General features: G+C 36.2%; 1 protein-coding gene across 34 annotated transcripts in view; it reads right to left on the minus strand.

Moving 5' to 3' along the window:
- KRIT1 (KRIT1 ankyrin repeat containing) overlaps nucleotides 1–24907 on the minus strand; it is a 47132-nt gene that overhangs the window by 9399 nt on the left and 12826 nt on the right. For all 34 annotated transcript variants that reach the window (NM_001350672.1, NM_001350676.1, NM_001350673.1 and 31 more), the window contains 7 exons: nucleotides 18159–18315; nucleotides 17353–17460; nucleotides 14455–14611; nucleotides 13535–13686; nucleotides 6244–6410; nucleotides 5525–5612; nucleotides 4828–5034 (listed from right to left, as the gene is read on the minus strand). In NM_001350672.1, coding sequence (NP_001337601.1) covers nucleotides 4828–5034; nucleotides 5525–5612; nucleotides 6244–6410; nucleotides 13535–13686; nucleotides 14455–14611; nucleotides 17353–17460; nucleotides 18159–18315 — 1036 coding nt within the window. The remainder of the gene's footprint in view (nucleotides 1–4827; nucleotides 5035–5524; nucleotides 5613–6243; nucleotides 6411–13534; nucleotides 13687–14454; nucleotides 14612–17352; nucleotides 17461–18158; nucleotides 18316–24907) is intronic.

The raw sequence follows: 24907 nt of genomic DNA on the forward strand, positions 1-24907 counted from the left end.
AAAGAAAGACTTAAAAAAAAAGAAAAAAGAAAAAAATTACAAAGGATCAACAAAACGAAAAGTTGGTTCTTCAAAAAGATAAAATGAGTAAACTGTTAGGTAGACTAACCAAGAGAGAAAGAAAATCCAAATAAACAAAATCATAAATGATAAAAGAGACATTATAACTGAGACCACAGAAATAACAAAGACTCCTTAGAGACTATTAGGACCAATGATAGGCTAACAAATTGGAAAACCTAGAGGAAAAAGATAAATTCCTGGACACAGACAACCTACCAATATTGAACCAGGAAGGAAAAGAAAACCTCAACAGATAAATTCTCGGTAATGAGGTTGAATCAGGAACAAAAAGTCTCTCAATAAACAAAAACCAGATGACTTCACTGCTAAATTCTACCAAACCTATAATGAAGAATACCAACTTTCTTAAAATGGACCAAAAAACTGAAGAGGATTCTTCCTAACTCATTCAACGAGGCCAGCATCATTCCAATAACAAAACCAGACAAGGACACAACAAAAAAGAAAACAAGAGTCCAACAGTCCTGAAAAACATAGATGCAAAAATCACCCACAAAATACTACCAAACTGCGTCCAACAACACATCAAAAAGATAACACACCATGATCAAATGGGATTTATGCCCGGGAGGTGAGGATGATTCAACATATGCAAATTAATAAATGTGATACAATCAATAGAATGAAGGACAAAAACCATATAATAGTTTCAATAAGTGCAGAAAAAGAATTTCATGAAGTTCAATATCGTTTCGTGATGAAAAAAAAAACCTCTCAGCGAATTCACATAGAAGGAACATACTTCAATCAATAAAGGCCATACATATATGACAAACCCACAGCTAACATCATACTGAAAGGGGAAAAGCTGAAAGCCTTTCTTATAAGAACTAGAATAAGACAAGGATACCCCACTTTCAACCACTCTTAATCAACATAGTACTGGAAGTACTGGAAGTCCTAGAGAGAGCATCAGGTAAGAGAAAGAAATAAAAGCCATACAAATTGGTAAACAGGAAGTCAAACTGTCCCTCTCTGCAGATGACATGATCTTATATACAGAAAGACCTAGACTCTACCAAAAAACTAACAGAACTGATAAAACAAATTCAATAAAGTTGCAGGACACAAAATTCACATACAAAAATAAGTGGCATTTCTATACACCGATAATGAACCAGCTGAAAAAGAAATCAAGAAAGCAATCTCATTTACTATAGCTAGTAAAAAAAATCAAATAATTGAGAATAAATCTAACTAAAAAACTGAAAGACCTCTGTAATGAAAACTACAAAACACTGATGCAAGAAATTCAAGAGCACACAAAAAATTGGAAAGATATCCATGCTCATGGATTGGAAGAGTTAATATTGTTAAAATAGCAATATAGGCCAGGCATGGTGGCTCATGCCTGTAATCCCAGCACTCTGGGAGGCCGAGGTGGGTGGATCACCTGAGGTCAGAAGTTCAAGACCAGCCTGGCCAACATAGTGAAACCCTGTCTCTACTAAAAATACAAAAGAAAAAAAAAATTAGCTGGGCATGGTGGTGCAAGCCTGTAATCCCAGCTACTTGGGAGGCCGAGGCAGGAAAACTGCTTGAACCCAAGAGGTAGAGGTTGCAGTGAGCCGAGATCACGCCACCGCACTCCAGCCTGGGTGATGAAGCAAGACTCTATCTCAAAATCAATCAATCAATCAATAAAAATAAAACAGCAATATTACCCAAAGCAATCAAGTAATTCAATGCAATCTTTATTGAAATACCAATGACATGCTTTACAGAAATAAAAAAAAATTCTAAAATTCATTTGGAATAACAAAAGATTCCAAATAGCCAAACCAATAGTGAGAAAAAAAGAACAAAGCTGGAGGCATCACACTATCTAATTTCAAAAAATAAACTACACAAACCTACAGTAACCAAACAGCATGATGTTATTGTAAATACAGATCTCAATGGAACAGAGAACCCAGAAATAAATCCATGTATTTACAGCCAACTCATTTTCAACAAAGGTGCCAAGAACAAACATTGGGGAAAAAAACACCCTGTTCAATAAATGGTGTTGGAAAAATTGGATACCCACATGCACAAGAATAAAACTAGACTCCATCTCTCACCATATACAGAAATCAAGTCAATATGGATAAAAAACCTAAATGTAAGACCTGAGCCTATAAAACTAGTAGAAGAAAACATAAGGGAAATGCTTTTGGACATTGGTCTAGGCAAAGATTTTATGGTTAAGACTTCAAAAGCATAGGCAACAAAAACAAAAACAGACAAATGGGACTATTTAAACTATTAAGCTTCTGCACAGCTAACGTAACAATCGACAGAGTGAAGAGACAATGTGGTGAATGGGAGACAGTATTTTCAAACTGTTCATTAGACTAGGGACTAATATCCAAAATTTACAAGGAAATCAAACAATTCAACAGCAAACAAACATATCCCATTATAAAGTAGGCAATGATTAGAACAGACATTTCTCAAAAGAAGACATACAAATGGCCAAGAAGTATATTAAAAAATGCTTACCACGAGTAATCATCAGGGAAGTTCAAGTCAAAACCACAGTGACATTTCATCCCACCCCAGTTAGAATGGCTATTATCAAAATGACAAAAACATAACAAATGCTGGTGAGGATGCAGACAGAAGGGAACTTTTATACAGAGTTAGTGGGAATATAAACTAGTAGAGCCATTATGGAAAACAGTATAGAGGTTTCTCAAAAACTAAAAATAAAACTACCATATGAACCAGCAATCTCACTACTGAGTATTCTTCCAAAGGAAAGGAAATCAGTGGGATCCTGCAACCCCATGTTGACTGCAGCACTATTCACAATAGCAAAGATATGGAATCAACCTAAGTGTCTCCCAACAGATGAATGAATAAAGAAAACGTGGTATATATGCACAATGAAATATTATTCAGCCATAAAAAAGAATGAAATCTTGCATTCGCAACAACATGAATGGAATTGGAGGTCATTTTGTTAAGTGAAATTAGCCAGGCACAGAAAGTCAAATACCCTATGTTCTCATATACGTGAGACGTTGATGTCAAGGAGGTAGAGAGTTGAATGATGATTACCAGAGCTGGGAAGGGTAGGGTAGGGTAGGAATAAGGAGAGGGTCAGTTAACGGGTACAAACATACAGTTAGATAGAATGAATAAGTTGCCGTGTTTCATAGTACACTAGGGTGACTATAGTTAATAATTTATTGTATATTTCAAAATAGCTAAGAGATAAGTTGAAATGTTCCCAATACAAAGAAATGATAAATATTTAAGGTGATGAATTTCCTAATTACCCTGATTTGATCATTACATATTATATGCATGTATCAAAATATGACATGTACCTCATAAATATGTACAACTACTATGTATCAATTAAAAAAATGAGTGGGACCCAGTGGTTCATGCTTGTAATCCCAGCACTTTGGGAAGCTGAGGCAGGAGGATCATTTGAGGCCAGGAGTTTGAGACCAAACTGTGCAACATAACAAGATCCTGTCTCTGAAAGAAAACAAAAAACAACAAAAAAAAAAAGCCAGGCATGGTGTTACGTGCCTATAGTCCCAGCTACTCAGGAGGCTGAGGTAGGAGGATTGCTTGAGTCCATGAGTTCAAAGCTGCAGTGAGCTATGATTGCACCACTGAACTCCAGCCTGGGGAACAGAGTGAGACCCTGTCTCAAAAAATAAATACATAAATAAAAAAATGTTTAAATGTGAAAAACAAAAAACAAGAAAGAAGCTCTGAAGTATTCTAGTGGATATTCAATCCCTTCCATACTTCATCCTGCTCCCCAAAAGGTTCTTGTACTAATTCTAATTTTTCAAAGTGAAGCCCTTGTGTCACATATAATATTTTTCTTTTTTTCATCTTTTTCAATTAACCTAACAAATGTTTTAAACAGGCAACATAATCACACAGTTAAAACTTTCAAGTTGCAAAATGGCATTGTTATGGACTGAATGTTTGTGTCCTGCCTCCCAAAATTGGTATGTTGAAATCCTAACTCCTAAAGTGATGGTATTGGGAGGTAGAGCCTTTGAGAAGTAATTATGCCATAATTTATGAGAGCAGGGCCCACATGAATGGGATTCATGCCTTTATAAAAGGGACCCCAAGATAACTCCCTCATTCTTTCTGCCATATGAGGCTACAAGGAGATGTCAGCAGTCTCCAACCCAGAAAAACGCTCTCACTAGAATCCAACCCCGCTAGCACGCTGATCTCAGACTTCCAGTTTCTAGAACTGTGAGAAATAAAACTTCTGTTGTTCATTAGCCAATCAGTCTATAGGGCTTTGTTATAGTGGCCTGAACTAGATAGGTATGTAATGAAAAGTTTCCCTCCTTACTTTTATTCCTAGTTACCTGGTTCCCTTCTCTAAAGGCTTCAAGAAATATTTTATGCATATACAAGCAATATGTATTTATGTAAAAATCATCCTCATTTCCTCCCATTTTAATAGCAAGAGTAGGCAGCATATTACATATTGTTCAGCACCTTGCTTTTTCATTAAATGTATCTTGCAGATCATTCTACACAAAAATACTCTTTATTCTTTTTTATGGCTGAAGGGTATTCTAATGCAGAAATGTAATATAATATTAACGCCTTACTGACAGTGATTTAGTGTCCCCCTTCCTCTTATGTAATGAATGAGTTGCAATGAACAGTCTTGTATATATGCCATTTCTAAATTCTTCATGTAGGTTGGTACTGTTGTTTTAACTATTATATGACATGATTGGTAAAAAAGAGCTGAAAATCTACCTTAGTTTCCATGTTGAGGAGATGAAGTCCTTTTATATTCACTCCTACATACACAGGGATGACTTTATGATTGCTGGGGCTTGCCTTTGTAAATATCTGTCCTGTGAAAAATGCTGCTCCATAAGTAGGAATTTCCCAGCAATTCTGTAAGAACATGCGCTGAAGGTGATGCATTTCTTTACTGACACCTTCACTTGTACTGAGATTCTAAAAACAAACAAGGTAAATTAAAAATAAAAGAGATATGAAAGGAAAATGTACCATTGATAATCCAAATAGATCAACTAAGCAGTTTCTAAAATCAAGATTGCCCCTAAAGAATAAAATTATGGCACATTGTATCAGGAGTACTTTTTCTCTTGTGATGTTAATATTAAAAAAAAAAATTGAGGTCTAAAAATACTGTCTATGTTATTGGGTTTTAATTGCTTCACGGGCATGGATAGTATATTATTTCAAATTTTTATCTTTAGTCCTTACCACAGTATTTGGCATGTTGAAGGTATTCAGTAAAAGATTATATATTACTAAAAATAAAAATATCTTGCTACTTTCAATTTCAAGCATTGTGAACTAGAAGATACATTTTTAATTTCAGGACTATAAATTTAATCTACCTCTGTTTAAAATATTTATAACACTAACAAAGTTTCAACTAGCCTATAAAATGTCTTTTCATTTCTATTAAACAGCTTACCTTGTATTCATGAAGTATGCGATTTGTCCAGTGAGGTGCCTTACTTTTCAGTTTGGTAACAGGTACGATGGATTTTAGATTTTCTTCACTGTAAGCACACATGCCAACATCCTTTAAATAAATCATCTTTAGTAGCTAAAGTATAGTAATCATTCTGTTACAAATGGCTTTCAGTAACGTAATTTTTAACCTGAAAAATATTTTGCTGTAAAATATCAGAGAACTCTAAAAATGTTAAGCAAAAAGCCACAAATCTCATATTATCAATTTAGATAAATGTTTCTTCTTTCAATAACCAGAAAATATTTTTGAAAATTGAAAACCACAATAACCAAATTCAGATATGCTTAAAACCTCAGTGTTTTCTCTCAAAGACTGAACATAAAACTAGTTTTTATGGTGGGATTCTTAAGTACATCTGCCTTATAAAATGTTTTACTACTTATTCGAGTCAGGTTTTAGTGAACTTATTTAAGCATAAAGAAAGATAAAGAAAAATATAAAGTATATCAAACTATAGTCAAATATAAGAAAAGTAAAATTGGAGAGTATAACTTTAAGAATGCTTTAGTATAATATTTTTTCTCATTCTATGTCTTATATTATTTAATTCCAAACCAATGTAATGTATAAATATTTTCTAATAACATTTTTAAACTTTCTTGGTTAAACAGAATCTTAAGCATAGCACAAGACCATGCATAATATTAAATACTTACTTTAGGAAACCTTGCTTGTGTTTTTTACTCTCATAATTTCCATAGACTATTTGCAAAAGCAGACTTGCCAATGTTATCAGCTTAGCATCAGGAGCTGTATAAAAGCCCTTCAATAAATTATATCTGGCTTCATCAAAGAGAATAAGAATAGCTAGTGGGTCTTCAATCTTAAAGGAAAAAGTATAATTTGGTTATTAGGCTACAATTTCTTTTTACAAATGAACAACTTAATATGGGAAAAGCAAAAGCTACATATTTGTATATAAATGAGCTGTTACTGTTTTGAGCAGAGGTTGGCAAACATTTTTTTATTAAGGCCCAGAGAGTAGTATTTTAAGTTTTGTAAGCTATATAATCGCTGTTGCAACTAATCAACTCTGGCACTGTAGCACAAAGAAAGCCACAGGTGATACATCAACAAATGGGTATGGCAGTGTTCTAATAACACTTTATGTAGGAATACTGAAATATGAATTTCAAAATATTTCGCTGATAGGAAATAGTTATTTTTTTTAACAATCAAAAAACGTAAAAAAAATCATCTTGTGAGGTATACAAAAATTGGCAAAATATGGCTATAAGCTATAGTTTGCTGACCTGGTTGTCTAACAAATATTATCATCAGTTTATAAATATGGATAATTTTTAGCAAAATTTTACCTAAATTTTTGTATGACTGAAACATTTTTCTATTAACTATGCTTCATACAATACAGTAGTGGACTTCAAAGAAGATAAAAGGAAGTATCTTAATTTCCAAAGGACAAATGCATTTTTAAAAAGCCTGTTGTAAGACATTTTAAATTTTGACTAAAAAGACTTTGCACTTTCAAATATTAATAATATTCAAGAAGAGTAAATTTTTGTTTTGTTTTTTGAGACAGGGTCTTGCTCTGCCAGCCAGGCTGGAGTGCAGTGGCATGAACATGGCCCACTGCAGCCTCGACCTCGTGGGCTCAAGCTATCTACCTGCCTCAGTCTCCCAAGTAGCTGGGAAAAGAGGTGTGCAACACCATGCCTGGCTAATTTTTAAATTTTTTGAAGACAGAAGGTCTTGCCATGTTGCCTAGGCTGGGCTCAAGCAGTCCTCTCACCTTGGCCTCCCAAAGTGTTGGGACTACAGGTGTTAGCCACTGCACCTGGCCTAGATCTTTTTTTTTTTTTTTAAAACTATAAAGTTTATCCAATAAGATTAATAAAGATTTGAGAAATCCTAGCCTACAGAATATATTCCTACTTGTACAAAGTCACCGGTTATAAAGTTTCTGAATAAATACTTAAAGTATTTCCAAATACAATTCACAACGATCCCAAGCTTGAATAAAAATGATTTTTGCGGCCAGGCACGGTGGCTCACGCCTGTAATCCTAGCACTTTGGGAGGCCGAGGTGGGCGGATCACGAGGCCAGGAGATCGAGACCATGCTGGCTAACACGGTGAAACCCCGTCTCTACTAAAAATACAAAAAATTAGCTAGGCATGGTGGCAGGCGCCTGTAGTCCCAGCTACTCGGGAGGCTGAGGCAGGAGAATGGTGTGAACCCGGGAGGCGGAGCTTGCAGTGAGCCGAAATTGCACCAGTGCACTCCAGCCTGGGTGACAGAAAGAGACTCCATCTCAAAAAAAAAAAAAAAAGATTTTTGCAACATTAACTGAAATAATACTATTTTTCTATCTTAAAATACTCTATATTATTAAATATTAATAATACTCTATTTAAAATTAATTAAAATACTCTATTATTAAATATTAAAAAAAAAATTTCATGGGGAAAAAATGAAGGGGACTGTTCTAAATTAAAAGAGACTGAAGAGACATCCAAATATAAAGCATGAGCCTTGACTAGATCCCGGGGCTGGGAGGTATAAAAGTATTTTGAAACAACTGGGAAACATCTGAATTTGAATCAGATATTATGTAATTATGGAATTATTAATTTTATTAGGTTGGAAATGTTATTGTGGTAGGTAGAGATGTCCTTATTCTTAGAAGATGCACGTCAAAATATGTAGGAATGACACCTGCAACTCAGTTTAAAATGGTTCACAAAGAAAGTAAATACACTAAACCAAATTGTTAACAACTTGTGATCTAATGAATGGTAAATGGTGTAAACTGTATTACTTTTTAATATGCCTATGGCTTTTCAAATTTCTCAAAATAAAATGGAAAAAGACTGAATGAAAGCCTATTTTCTAATAAAAACTGACATCGTATATTTGAAGAATATGAGTAGATAATAACAGTTACAATTTCCAATACCATGTTCAATGAGTTTTAGTCACCATTTTTTCGTTTCTAATGAAATCAGGATGTTTTCATCCTAAAAGGATGATGCTAAACAGTAAGTGTAATTCTGTTTTTCAGATGGTACAAACAGGAATTTCTTAATTATATAATGAGTGAAAGAACACAACTGCCTTACCAGATTATCATGACATTCTGGTTTACCATAAGAACTTACTAAGCCTTGCTTCCTTTTTACTTGAGTCTCCTTTATTTTATAATTATGCAATTTATTTATCACCCAAGTATTATCATTACTGCTCCTCTTCTCTACCAGTGAACTATTACAATATTACTTGGGAGGAGAAGGCAGACTGAGTATACTTAGATTATATGCAGATTTTATAGCTATCATACATTTTTTAAGTTATAGGGTAAAACAGATATAATATTTGTCATTTGACCCGTTTTAAAGTGTGAAATTCAGTGGCATTAATTATGTTCACAACATTGTGCTACCATCACTACTATCTAGTTCCACATAGTTTATATCATCCCAAAGAGAAATTCTGCTAACTGGTAAGAACTTCCCACCCCTCCCCTAGCCCAGCACCTCTGATAACCTCCAATCTATTTTTTCCCTTTATGCCTTTGCCTATTCTAGATTACTTGATATAAGTAGAATTAAATATTTGTTCTTTTGTGTCTGGTTTATTTAGTATGTTTTCAAGGTTCACTCATGTTGTCACATGTATCATAACTTCATTCCTTTGTATCAGTGAATAATACTCTACTTGTATATATAGATCACATTTTGTTTGTCCACTCATCTGTTGATGGACACTTAGGGTGCCTCTACCCTTTTGGTTATTATGAATAATGCTGCAGTGACATACGAATATGTTTGAGTCCTTGTTTTCAATTATTTCAGGCATATATCTAGGAGTGGAATTGCTGGATCATACAGTAATTCTATTTTTAGATTTTTGAAGAACCACTGTTTTCCACAGTGGCTGCACCATTTTACATTCCCACCTGCAATGTACCAGGGTTCCAATTTCTATACATTTTTACCAGCTCATTATTTTCTGTTTTGTTTTTTATAGCCATCCTAGTGGGTGTGGTTTCTCACTGAGGTTTTAATTTGCATTTCCCTAATAACTAATGATGCTGAGCATCTTTTCATGTGTTTGCTGGCTATTTATATATTCAAGTCCTTCGACCTATTTTATTTACAGACAGGGTCTTGCTCTTTCATCCAGCCTAGAGTACAGTGGATGATCATAACTAACTGTAGCCTTGAACTCCTGGGTTCAAGAGATCCTCCTGTCTCACTCTCCTGAGTAGCTAGAACCACAGGTGTGTGCCACCACGCCAGGCTATTAAAAAAAAACAAAGACAAAGACAAAAACAAAAACAAAACTTTTTTGTAGAGACAGGGTCTCACTATGCAGCCAGGCTGGTCTCAAATTCCTGGCCTCAAGTGAGCCTCCCACCTCATCCTTCCAAAGCACTGGGATTACAGAAGTGAACCACCACGCCTGGCCTACTTTTTTTTTTTTTTTGAGATAGTCTTGCTCTATTACCCAGGCTGGTGTGCAGTCGTGCAATACTGGCTCATTGTAACCTCTCCCTCCCAGACTCAAGCAACCTTCCCACCTCAGTCTCCTGAGTAGCTGGTACACAGTGTGTGCCACCATGCCTGGCTAATTTTTTAAGTTTTTTATAGAGATGAAGTCTCACTATGTTGCCCAGGCATGTCTCAAATTCCTGGGTTCCCATGATCCTCCCATCTCAGCCTCCCAAAGTGCTGAGATTACAGATACTGCACCGAACCCTGATCATTTTTAATTGGGTTGTTGGCCTTTTTATTGTTGAGTTGTAGGAGTTCTTTATATATTCTGGATAGTAAACCCTTATCTATGATTTGCTAATATTTTCTCCCATTCTGTTGCTTTTCACTTTCTTAATAATGTCCTTTAAAGCACAAAAGTCTTTGATTTTGATGAAGTTTAACTTACCCAATATTTCTTTTGTTGTTCATGCTTTTGTTGTCATATCTGACTCCACTGCCTAATCCAAGGTCATGAAGATTTATCCCTTTGTTTTCTTCTATGAGTTTTATGGTTTTAGCACTTATATTTAGGTCACTGATGCATTTTATTTTTATTATTATAATATTTGAGATGAAGTCTCACTTTGTCACCCAGGCTGGAGTACAGTGGTGTGATCTTGGCTCACTGCCCCCTCCACCTCCCGGGTTCATGCAATTCTCATGCCTCAACCTTCTAAGTAGCTGGGACTACAGAGGTGTACCACCATGGCTGGCTAATTTTTTGTATTTTTAGAAGAGATGGGGTTTTGCCATGTGGGCCAGGCTGGTCTAGAACTCCTGTCCTCAAGTGATCCACCCGCCTCAGCCTCCAAAAGTGCTGGGATTACAGGTGTGAGCTACCACACCCAGCCATTTTAACTTTTTATATGGCATGAGGTTGGGGTCCAATTTCCTACTTTTGCAATGTGAACTTACAGTTATACCAGCACCATCTGTTGAAGAGACTATTCTTTCTCCATTAGATGAACCTGGTAGCCTTGTCAAAAGTCTACCGGCTGTATATGTATGGGTTTATTTCTGAAAACTCAATTCTATTCCATTGGTCTGTATGTTTATCCTTATGCTAGAGTACCACAATGCTTTTGATTGCTTAGCTTTGTGGTGTGCTTTGAAATTGAGTAATGTCAATCTCTCAACTTCATTCTTCTTAAGATTGCTTTGGCTATTTGAGTCCCCTTGCAATTCTTGTGGATTTGAGTACTGTCTGTTCCACTTTCACAAAAAAAGCTATTGGAATACTGTTAGGGACTGCATTAAATCTGTAGATCACTTTGCTAGTAGTGACATCTTAACGATGCTAACTATTCCTATCATTGAACGTGGAGATGTCTTTCCAGTTATCAGGTCTTATTTTTCAGCAATGTTTTATAGTTTTCAGTGTACAAGTCTTGAACTTCTTCTGTTAAATTTATTCCTGGGTGTTTTATTCTTAGATGCTATTTTAATGGACTTCTTAATCTCTTTCTTGTATTATTCTTTGCTGGTATATAGACAACAGATTTTGTGTGTTCAGCTTATACCTTGAAACTTCGCTGAATTAATTTAGTAGCTCTAGCTTTCTTGTGGATTCTTTGGGAGTTCCTATGTATACGTCATTTGCCAAAAACTAAGGTCTTGATTATTGGTGAAAGTGGACATCCTAATTTCGTACCTTATCTTAGGAGGACAGTTTTCAGTCTTTTACCATTGAATATGATATTAGCTGTGGGTTTTTCATGAACACCCTTTATCATGCTGAGAAGTTCGCTTGTATTCCTAGTTTTCTGAGAGTTTTTTAAATCATGAAAGGGTGTTGGATTTTGTCAAATGCCTTTCTGCATCAATTAAGATGATCATGTGTTTTCTTCCCTCCCTTTCATTCTATTAATGTGATTCTAACACATTTTTAACAAATAATGAAGTCCTTAGTTTTTGGTAAATTTCATAGCAATTTTTATGTGACTCCTAGTATATTTGGCTGAGAGGATCTACTCTATCTTTGGCTTGATAATATAAAAGGAGCAATATATATAGTTATGTACAAAATGTTTACCAAGTTTGGACATGGCTGTTGAAATTTTCTTGTGCCAAAATTTGTTTAACTGTGTTTGTTTAATATTCCCTGAGAATAAAGAATTAAGAAATGTATTCTATTTTTTTCTTCACTAACATTGTAAGACTGTGAAACAATTTCACCATATTTAGATTATCATGCCTAATTTAAGCTGTTATAATCTCTCCCTTGTCCATTCATCCTTCTTTTTTTTTTTTTTTTTTTTTTTTGAGATGGAATCTCATTCTGTCATCCAGGCTGGAGTGCAGTGGCACGATCTCGGCTCACTGCAACCTCCACCTCCCAGATTCAAGCAATTCTCTGCCTTGGCCTCCCAAGTAGCTGGGATTACAGGCGCCCACCACCATGCCTAATTTTTGTATTTTTAGTAGAGACGGGGTTTCACCATCTTGGCCGGGCTGGTCTTGAATTCTTGACCTCGTGATCCACCCGCCTTGGCCTCCCAAAGTGCTGGGATTACAGGCATGAGCCACTGTGCCTGGTCCATTCATCCTTCTTATGGCATTATGTCACTTCTTCCTCTCTAAAATCCACAGTAGTTCAAATCCAAATATACTTGTCTAGACAGACTTCTTTTCATCAAATGTAAATACTATTCTCATTTTTTACTATGTATAGAGTTCTCTGTTTGAGTTAAGATGAGCTACTTAGGCTAGGCACAGTGGCTCACGCTTGTAATCCCAGCCCTTTGGGAGGCCAAGGTGGGCAGATCACTTGAAGCCAAGAGTTCAAGACCAGCCTGGCCAACATGGCAAAACCCCGTCTCCGCTAAAAATACAAAATAAATTAGCTAAGTGTGGTGGCACACGCCTATAATCCCAACTACTTGGGAGGCTGAGGCACGAGAACTGCTTAAACCTGGGAGGTGGAGATTGTACTGAGCCGAGATTGTGCCACTCCAGCCTGGGACACAGAGCAAGACTCAGTCTCAAAAAAAAAAAGATGAGCCACTTATGGACTGTTGAGAATGACTTTCGCATTCTTCCCTTTGCAAGTATAATCTTATCCACCCAGGATGTTCTCTTCCACACCAGTGTTTCTCTTTCTTCCTTCAAAATGTATACAACTGATCAGCCCTTTATTAAGTTTATCCTTGACAGTGTACTTCCTAACTAGTCTAAACAATTTTTTTTCCTGTATAATTTGGCTCCACATCTGATTGCTAATTTTCTTTAGGATAGCTCCCTATTTCTTTTGTATTCTTAAGACAATGGGAGTGGAAATGAAAAATCCCAACCAAGGGCTTTGTAAGTAGATCAACTGAAACTCCGCCAATTATCACAGGGATGTAAGGATCGATTTAAGGATGTAAGCACAATTTCTGCCTCTAGTGCTTACAATAGAAACTCAACAGATTTTGTGCATTTAAATAACTGTAAATAAGATTTCCAAGCAAACCTGTTTTTCAACTTCCAAGGGAAGTCTCACATCTCTTCTTAGAAAAAGCTGAGGTGTTTCCCTTTGAGGATCCAGATTAGTCAATTCAGCAAGTATTTCTGGCCAGTCACGAACATGTTGCAAGGGTTTATGATATGGTTTGAGTTGAAGGCCTGAAAAACATCATTCCTTTTATAAATGATAATGTAAAAAGTCAATTATATCAATGCATAGAAACTTTGTATTAAACTGTCTGCACTTCTGTACTGAATACTCACAAATTAAATTTAAATCTAAAATTAACATTTTAATCAATATGACTACCCAATTTGTGGTTAACTGCTTATTATCAAGAATATAAGAATTATTAAAAATAATTCTTACATAAAATTTATCAAATGTATATGAAATCCTTAATTCCATTATAGCCTATTTAATTATGACATAAGTAGAATTCCTAGTTAAAAAGATACAACTAAGCCATTAAATAACCAATCACATCGATCAAATTCTTTATGTATGTGTAATACTTTGAAGAACAAATATATAGTCATTAGGTTGATTTTAAATAAAAAGGTTGATTTTAAATAGAAAACTAATGTAAGAGAAAAGAACATTTGTATTATTTCAAAATGAACACAAAAAATAAAGGCAAGTTGCATTAGCACAACATTTAATGGCATTCAAATCAAATGCCATTGCCATAGAAGAAAAGTTTTGTTTTTTAATTATTAAAAAATGCTTTGAATGAAGCAGGGAACGGGGTGGGCAGGGACTTACCTGTTTCAGCAGTTTGAACACTAGTAATTTATATAAAAGAGAAGAACATTGTATTATTTCAAAATTTAAGAGTCAAGAATAAAAAGAAGTTGTATTTTCTACCAACCCACTCCCAAAAAGGAATAATGAGGTTTACTATAACATAATAAAAACTTTCTTACTGAGGTTTTCTGAACAAATCCATATAGTGAAATATTGCTGAGTTTCTTGAGAGAGACGCATTCCTTCCATTATCTGCTGCACTGTGGTATTATTTCCATGCTTCAATTCAACAGAACGATATGACCCATCCATTCTGTATATTCGAACTTTTTCATACTACAAGAAACGATAACTTACGTAACGAACTTAAAAAATTATACATCACAATCTAACAAGATACTTTCCTTCAACTTCATGTGCTTTATTATAGATTTCTAACATGAAAAATATCAGAAACACTGTTTTAAGTGAGAATCTGTTGGTGATATTTTAAAAACATTTTACTGGCCGGGCGCGGTGGCTCACGCCTATAATCCCAACACTTTGGGAGGCCGAGGCGGGCGGATCACGAAGTCAGGAGCTCGAGACCATCCTGGCTAACATGGTGAAACCCCGTCTCTACTAAAAATACAAAAAAAAAAAAAAAAAAAAAATTAGCTGGGCGTGGTGGCAGGCACCTGTAGTCCCAGCTACTAAGGAGGCTGAGGCGTGAGAATGGCGTGAACCCCGGGAGGAGCTTGCAGTGAGCTGAGATTGCGCGACTGCACTCCAGCCTGGGTGACAGAGCAAGACTCCATCTCAAAAAAAAAAAAAAAAAAAATTTTACTTCCATTACTTGTATTTTCTAAAATATTTTCTTCTGGATGTTCCAGAAATAAGTTTAGTAAACTAAGGAGAATGACTTAAAAACATACTCAATGTCAAATTCTTTTGACAGGATGTTTTAGCGCCTTTAATGTAATGTAAATATCATAACGAGAGATACAAACTTGGTTACTGAATCTAGTGTTCGTCAAGTACTTCACGAGTCTAGTGGGTCACATATAATACAACAGAAATGTGTACCACCAGTAACTTGTCCTAAGAGGAATTTGTGATGGAACACTTTGCAGGTAAAAGTTATCAATGAACTTTGAGCCAGTTTCCTTCCCCCAGTTTAGAAAATTCCAGAAAGTAGTAGCATTCTCAATGGATTTTTATTGTTATAGGAAGTAACTGATGTCCCCAAATAACTTCCAGGCCAGTTCACTTTGGATAAAAGAACTTCACCCCTCCTACCTTATTCATTCACAATATAAAAATTATATCAGGGATAAAAATGAGTTAACACTACATAGTTAGAAAATAAATTGCAATGAAGTATAACATAAGGGTACCTGTACTGCTTGTCTATTTCCTTGACTCTGTCTTATGCTCTTGGAGTAAGTGTTTTGACAAAATGCGTGCGTGTGTGGTATGTGTGTAACATTAAAGGCAGAGACCATATATTCCTTCTAATTTTCAGCACTTTGTCATGTTAAATCCAAAGAGATACTCAACAAATACTTATTGCATAGTTGTTGGTTAATGCCTGGAGAGGCTTAGGTAAATGGGTTATATCTGTTAGTATAAACCCTTTATCCTTTATTTGTTGGTATAAATCTTTTTATTTCAAACAGTTTTTAAACTAATGACAGCCAGGAGCGGTGGCACGTCTGTAGTCCCAGCTACTCAAGAGGCTGAGGTGGGAGGACGGCCTAAGCCTAGAAGGTTGAGGCTGCAGTGCATCACGATTGTCTGTGAATAGCCACTGTACTCCAGCCTGGGCAACATAGTGAGACCCTGTCTCATAAAAATAAAAATAATTAAATTAATAATTTTTATAATCATTATAACTCTTAGGCATAATTGAGTTTCTTCTCATTGTTAATTCTTCTGTATTTTAATGTCACTAATTTGAGCTTTATGCCTCTAAATAAAATTATTATTTTAATAGCTATGTATGCCAGCATTTTCGATTTATGAGTTTATTTCCAGTTGTAATTAGATGGAAAGGCCAGGTTGAGTTAGCAGAATAAAAAAGCTTGGAAACACCTATTTTACTTTTATGAGGAGGAAAATGAGTCTGTTATATATAAACTAACTTGCTGAGACTGAATGATGTGCAATGCTTTCATTTAAAAATATAAAATGTTGCTTAAGAGACCTAAGTATAGGGATATGTGACAATGAATAGATTAAAATTACGTGTAATCAGGCTGGGCGTGGTGGTTCACGCCTGTAATCCCAGCACTTTGGGAGGCTGAGGTGGGAGGATCACGAGGTCAGGTGATCGAGACCATCCTAGCTAACAGTGAAACCCCATCTCTACTAAAATTACAAAAAATTAGCCGGGCGTGGTGGCAGGCGCACGTAATCCCAGCTACTCGGGAGGCTGAGGATAACTGCTTGAACCTGGGAGGCAGAGGTTGCGGTGAGCTGAGATCGCGCCATTGTATTCCAGCCTGGGTGACAGAGCGAGACTCCATCTCAAAAAAAAAATTATGTGTAATCAACACATCAAGCATAGAAATTATATGAAAATTTTAAGTGTTTTGAAAGTTTTATTTACTTATTTTTGCAAGTTTTATTTTGTTATGCAAGAATAAATGTCCAAATGTTAGGGATAATGCAGTCTACAATGAGGTTTTTTGTTTGTTTGTTTGAGATGAAGTCTTGCTCCGTCGCCAAGGCTGGAGTACAGTGGCACAATCTTGGCTCACTGCAACCTCCACCTCCTGGGTTCAAGCAATTCTCCTGTCTCAGCCTCCTGAGTAGCTGGGACTACAGGTGCACGCCACCATGCCCAGCTGATTTTTGTATTTTTCATAGAGATGGGGTTTCACCATGTCTGGATCTCTTGACCTTGTGATCTGCCTGCCTCAGCCTCCCAAAGTTCTGGGATTACAGGTGTGAGCCACCATACCTGGCCTACAATGAGGTTTTATAGCAGTAAAGAAGCCATCTAATCGTCTTTCCACTCTTGCCACAGATCCTCAAATTTAAATCTTATTAATTTAAATACTATGCCTGGCTCTAACTATGAAGATAATTCTTACTGGTTTGTTAATTGCTTCCTTCAACAATTTTGCAGCTTCTTCCCAGTTGTTTTGTTTGTTTTCTTCACAAATATTTAATGGAGATCTTCCTTGTTGGTCTGTTATATGCTAGAAATGTGGGTGGGGAGGGGGAAAAAAGGCATTACATATTATGGTATTCTAAGGGAAAATGTCATCCAATTAATCACAGTTTCATAAAAAAGAGACTCTTGTCAAGTACTAAAGTAAATATTAACCACACTTGGTATGTATTATGTTTAGAATAAACAAGAGTTGCCAAGATAAAAGACTCAAAGCACTAATCAATGTGATGACTGTTTTTTTAAAAGTTCTGATACAGACATAATAAAAGTTTTAATACTATTATTTTCCTCTTTATGATATTCCTTTTTATGAATTTCCTTTATGAAATTCTGGAAAATCTTTTTCCTTTTTCAAGATGTTTTTGGAGAAATACAATATAAAATGAAAAGAGGTTAAATTCTACATACATTCTGAAGACAGACTGTGGTGATATAAATGTACTTAATGCCACTGAACTGTACGCCTAAAAATAGTTAATGTAAATTTTAGGCGAGGTGTATTTAAAAAATCTAAAAAAAAAATATGTTCAAAAGCACAACACATATATTCCATTATTTATTCTACAAAGTACAACTCATATATTCCGTTACTTATTCTATAAAGTAATGGAATTTATTTTTATTTTTCAGATGAACTCTCAAACATACAATTTAACATTTTAGTGTCATTACTTGTTATTCACTGCTTGAATATTATTTTTAAAAACCTGGAAAATAACTTACTCTATCCGTTTCTGGGTGGTTTAGGAGAATCTGTACTATTTCAGCATGTCCTCCTCCAGCAGCAAAATGAAGAGGAGAACTAAGTTGTCCATTTAAAAGGTTTGGATTGCACTTTCCTTTCTCTAACAATATGCGAGTGGCCTCAACTTTTCCATACCTGTATAAAAAAACAAACAAACAAAAAACAACAACAAAAAAAACTTACCTAAAAAGATCATCTGAAATGTTTTTAAAAATCCAAATTTTAGATGATATCTCAAAGAAATCTAAGAATTTTCTAGGACAGAGAGCAAAGGATTATTAAGATACTGACATAATGTTTTCAATGATTAGGGGTTTCTTATTAATTATTCTGGTTCAATTAAACTGTTTCTATTTCTGATAAACTGGAAGAAAATATAACCTCAAATACAAGATAGAGCAGACGACAGAGAAACATCCCATGTGTACTACAAAGGTTAGATACAATTTTTAGTCAAATATAGTTTCAGAAACAGAAAGTAACTCATATAAGAAAACTTAGTAAGAATGCTTTTCACTTAGGCCCGGCTGTTTACAAAATAGGCCCAAAGATGTAATTCTATACACAGTTGCTATATTAGACAATGTGAAAGAGACAAACATGTATAAAATATGTGGTCTCTACCCTGAATGGTTTACAGTGTAATTTGAGGCAAAACATAAACATGGGATAAGTTACATAATGCTGTAAAATTTAAGTATGGTAATGTTTGTCCATGCTTTAAAAAATATCAGAGGCTGGGCGCAGTGACTCACACCTATAATCCCAGCACTTTGGGAGGCAGAGGCAGGCGGATCACAAGGTCAGGAGCTCGAGACCAGCCTAACCAACATGGTGAAACCCCATCTCTACTAAAAATACAAAAATTAGGCGGGCATTGTGGCGCACGCCTGTAATCCCAGCTCCAGAGATATAATTCCAGAAAACAAGAGATATGATTTCAGTCTAGATGGTCCTGTAAAGTGCTCTGATAGAAGAACAATTTGAATTGAATGTTACTGTTTTTGAGACTGAGTCTCACTCTATGCCCAGGCTGGAGTGCAGTGGTGCAATCTCAGCTCACTGTAATGTCTGCCTCCTGGGTTCAAGAGATTCTCGTGTCTCAGCCTCCCAAGTAGCTGGGATTACAGGCATGCGCCACCACGCCCAGCTAATTTTTGTGTCTTTAGTAAAGATGGGGTTTCGGCCAGGCGTGGTGGCTCATGCCTATAATCCCAACACTTTGGGAGGCCGAGGTGGGTGGATCACAAGGTCAGGAGTTCGAGACCAGCCTGGCCAACATGGTGAAACCCTGTCTCTATTAAAAATACAAAAATTAGCTGGGTGTGGTGGCAGACACCTGTAATCCCAGCTACTATGGAGGCTGAGGCAGGAGAATCACTTGAACCCAGGAGGCGGAGGTTGCAGTGAGCCAGAGATCGCGCCATTGCACTCGAGGCTGGGTGACAGAGCAAGACTCCGTCTCAGTGGGGGTTGCGGCGGGGAGGTGGGAAGACAGGGTTTGGCCATGTTGCCCAACCTGGCCTCTAACTCCTGGGCTCAAATGATCCACCTGCCTCAGCCTCCCAAAGTGGTGGGATTAGAGGCGTGGGCCACCATGCCCAGCCTGAACTGAATTTTTAAATAGGAAAGAACTGAAGAGATGTTGAAGAGAAGTAAAATATTTTAGGTAGACAGAAAAGGAGTAAGCAAAGGTCTCAGAAGAGTACAATGCATACGCACACAGTGAGTCAACCTCTTGGTTACAGCCAAAGACTTATGTAAGGCTGCACTCTGAAGCAAGGGTAGAAAGTAATTTGTTGTGTGGAAATAAGAGGGTGAGGTGGGAGGAGGAATGGAAACTTGGTTTTGGTTTTAGATATGGAACATCTGAGGGGAAAACAGCCCATTTTTAGAACTGATTTTCCATCTGTTTTTCCTTTCTTCCCCTTCACAAATACTATGTCTTTTCTATACTCCAAATCAGACACTTTCATCCTACACCTTACTCAGGTGATTTGTTTTACTCAGGTGATTTGTTTTGCTCAGGTTTTGCTATTCTTTTTTTAACTTTTATTTTAGACTCTGGGGTACATGTGCGGGTTTGTTACATAGGTAAATTCTTGTCATGGGGGTGTGTCGTACAGATTATTTCACCACCCAGGTACTAAGCCTAGTACCCAATAATTATTTTTTCCGCTCCTCTCCCTCCTCCCAGCTTCCACCCTCAAGGAGGCCCCAGTATTTGCTGTTCCCTTTTTTGTGCTCATGAGTCCTCATCATTCAGCTCCCACGTATAAGTGGGAACACGTGGCATTTTCTGTTCCTGCATTAGTTTGCTAAAAATAATGGTCTCCAGCTCCATCCATGGTCCTGCAAAGACAAGATCTTGTTCTTTTTTCTGGCTGCATAGTATTCCATGATGTATACATACCACATTTTCTTTAACCAATCTGTTATCATGGACCTTTAGATTGATTCTATGTCTTTGCTATTGTGAATAGTGCTGGAATGAACATTCCATGTGTGTGCATGTGTCTTTATGGCAAAATGATTTATATTCCTCTGGGTATATACACAGTAATGGGATTGCTAGGTCAAATGGGAGTTCTGTTTTTAGCTCTTTGAGGAATTGCCATACTGCTTTTCACAATGGTTGAACTAATTTACACTCCCACCAACAGTATATAAGCGTTCCCTTTCTCTGCAACCTTGCCAGTATCTGTTATTTTTATGACTTTTTAATCATAGCCATTCTGACTGGTGTGAGATGGTACTTAAACTAAACAGCTGCTCTGCACAGCAAAAGAAACTATCAACAGAGTACACAGACAACCTACAGAATGGGAGACAATATTTGCAAACTATGCATCTGACAGAAGTCTAATATCCAGCACCTATAAGAAACTTAACAAATTTACAAGAAAAAACCACCCCATTAAAAAGTGGGTAAAATACATTAATAGATACTTTTCTAAAGAAGACATACAAGCAGCCAAGAGACATATGAAAAAAAGCTCAATATCACTGATCATTAGAGAAATGCAAATCAAAGCCACAATATTCTTTGCTATTCTTAAGACATCCTTTCCCCCTTCCTGATTTCGTTCAGGTTAAATTCCATTATGCCTCTGAAACGGTTTAAAATCTATCTTCTCTATATTCCCACTATGTTTTAGCATTCTATTTTTGCTTCTTTTTTGTGACTTATTTCATTCTACCTAATTCCATCCTTGTTTATCCACACCTCTTCTCTATCAGCCTGGAAGCTCCTTGAGGATAGGGACAGTGTCTTTATATTCTCCAAAGTGCCCTACATACAAAAGATAAGTGACTGAAATGTTTAGTAGGCAACTTGAAACTACTTAGGGGAAGGCAAAGGCTTAGAGTATCTATTTGAGAATATGTAAAATCATCTCACTGAAAAGAATTAAATGGTCTGAAAGAATGGATGAAATCTGAGAATGAATTTAGAGAAATGTGATCACCTTAGAACACTGAAATACATCTAAAAGGGAAAAGATAGTGAGGTAGCAATTCGAGAAGTAATAATAAAAATAATACAAACATACATTTTGTATGGTGCTTTAAAATTTCCCAGCTACCTTCTTATATAATTATTTAATATAATCATAGAAATTTATAAAGTAGGCAGAGGTACTTTTTTATTGCACAGATGAGAAAAATGGAGCTTGATGCAGTTAACTAACTTGCCCAACGTCTCATGGTGACTAGCCAGAGTTAGAAGCCAGTTTTCTGAATCTTAGTAGTACTACTACTAAGACACAGGTCTGGATCACAGAATGGAGGCCAGTGAGTGTTTCCACAGCAATGATAAGATATCAATAATACCTTGCATTTTTACTGACCTTCATTATAGCTCCATTATGCTCTTTCAACTCCTATTTGTTCTTAAAATGAAAAGTAGTCAAGAATTAAATGCTGCAGAGCAGGGAAACAGATCAAAAACTCAGAAAAAGTTAAGGTTTATGAAGAGTGAAAAAGAGAAAGCAGAGTGTGTCTCCCACTCACCTTTGAAATCTGGCTGTGAAAGGAAGGAAAGAAACAGGATGGTAGCTAAAAGAAGTAGGTTCAGGTGAAAGCAACTTTCAAGAAGGAAGAGAATCATGCATGTTTGAGGGAAAGAAGAAAGTAGGTGTGGAAAAAGAAAAGTGAATTTAAGGGGAATAAGAAGAATTTTTATGTGTATACCCTATGATACAGGAGAGAGATGGGGACAAAAAGTGATCATTAGGGATAGAGAAGAACATTTCTGACGCCTTAAATTTTCTTTGAAAATAGGGGGCAAAAAGGAGTATAGGGATTATGAAAGTAGAAAAAGAAAGTAGTGAAAGTTTAAGTACTTAGGAGTAGAAACGTTTAGAATAGCTTGGAAGGGGAGGACTAAAAGGCTGAATGAAACAAAGAGTACAGATAGCTAATATACAGTGAAGCTCCAAGTGAAATTGGATGAAATAATTTGTAGGAAGCCAAATCATCACAGTTTGAAAAACACTAACAATGATCTGAAGTCTGAAAGTACTATCAGAGAAAGAAGACACTGATTTGATTCAAAATAGAGGGTCTGGCATAGGGGTACGGGAAGAATAAAGAAGTGAGAGAATATGAAATGTCAGTGAGACATTTACTGAGTGGCTGTTAAGTTCTCTACAAGGGGTTAAAGCCATTTTAAATATTTTGGGAAAATGATGATTCTAGAAAGTAAAGAATGGTTTTTACATGTCTGGCTACCAATCTTGAATTTTAAACTCTTATTTTTTTCATTAAATTGTGTTATGTTAACATATATAGGTATTGTTATTTTTAATACACATGGAATATTTTTCAGTTTCTATTTCTAATATCTTAACACTGGATTTAATCCACATAAACAAAAACTCTTGGGAATCCTGTAACTGTTAAGAGTAAAAAAGTATCCTGAGACCCAAAAGTTTGAGAACCACTAATCTAATTAAAACCCTCATTTTAAAGGTGAGAAATGAGACCAAGTGAGGTAAAATATCTTGTCTTACAAAAATAGGACTAAACCCTAGTCTCTTCACTGTATCACAGTCAAGAGCCCAGTGTCCCCTCCTCGGTCTTTGTACCAATTAGTGAATAAGAGTATACTTCCAAGATAAATTTAAGTTCTTTACTGAATAGTTAAATCATTATTTGAATTCACGTCAATTAAATGAGGCATCCAACTAATAGTATTGCAAGGTGACCCATACTACTCCTGTTACATTAAACTTGATTATCAAGCTGACAGAAAATTAATTTATCCAAGTATAAAACTCTTTTCCTTGGCATACTCAAGTAACAAAAATTTGCAAATGAAAATATTACAGATTAATAAATTTTAGATTCAGACATCAAAATCTTTACATTTTTACAATATTTATTTTTTTATTTTATTTTTTGAGATGTAGTCTCACTCAGTCGCCCAGGCTGGAGTGCGGTGGTGGGATCTCAGTACACTGCAACCTCCACCTCCTGGGCTCAAGCGATTCTCCTGCCTCAGCCTCCCGAGCAGCTGGGATTACAGGTGCCTGCCACCACGCCCAGCTAATTTTTGTATTTTCAGTAGAGACAGAGTTTCACCAGGGCAGGCTGGTCTCAAACTCCTGACTTCCAGTCATCTGCCCTTCTTGGCCTTCCAAAGTGCTGGGATTACAGGTGTGGGCCACTACACCCGGCCAACACTTATTCTTAAAAGCCAAGATTTATTGAGTGCTCATTATGTGCTCTCAAAGCACGTTACTTGTAATTTTTCTTTTACTATTAGGGAAGGTACCATTTTTAAGCCCATCTCGTATAGATAAAGAAACAGACCCTTAGAGACATAAAGTAACTTACCAAAGGTAATATTTTAGGAACTAAAAATGGTACTGAAACATAGGTACATTCCAAAGCATATTAAATACAATGCCATGCTTTTGTTTTTATGTAATAGTTGAAAATATTACCATTCTTTCATTAGAGGGGGAAAAAAAAAAAAACACCCCTGCCACAAAAAGGAGCAACTATACAGTCAAATATAAACTTGGGATTCCTCAACTAAAATTCACTGCCTTTGCCTTTTCCAAATCTATAGTATACTTTTTTGGAATCTGAACTATATTCTCTACCTCTTTTTATTTAGCTCCTGGTAAAGCATGTGATTTCTTTTTTTCCTTTTTTTTGAGATGGAGTCTCACTGTGTTGCCCAGGCTGGAGTGCAGTGGCGTGATCTCAGCTCACTGCAAGCTCCGCCTCGCGGGTTCACACCATTCTCCTGCCTCAGCCTCCCAAGTAGCTGGGACTACAGGCACCCGCCACCACACCCGGCTAATTTTTTGTATATTTAATAGAGACGGGATTTCATGGTGTTAGCCAGGATGGTCTCAACCTCCTGACCTCGTGATCCGCCCACCTTGGCCTCCCAAAGTGCTGGGATTACAGGTGTGAGCCACTGCACCCGGCTGCATGTGATTTCTTTTAGTATTGTTTTTGCCGCCAGTATTTTCTGGTAATCTAAAGAAACAACTATTAACTCAGTTAAAGACAATTAGAGTAACTCTTAATACAAAAATTCCATGTAATAAGAAATATAAGAGCATATTTTTAAGGAAACAGAAAAAAGATCTTTTTATACACACACACACACACACACACACACACACACACATATAAAGCAACTATAGTTAACTGCTTGATTACAAATATTAAAATCAGATAAATCAAAAGAATTTCGAGTTGGAAGAAA

The sequence above is a fragment of the Homo sapiens genome, chromosome 7 (genome assembly GCF_000001405.40).
Source record: "Homo sapiens chromosome 7, GRCh38.p14 Primary Assembly".
NCBI lineage: Eukaryota > Metazoa > Chordata > Mammalia > Primates > Hominidae > Homo > Homo sapiens.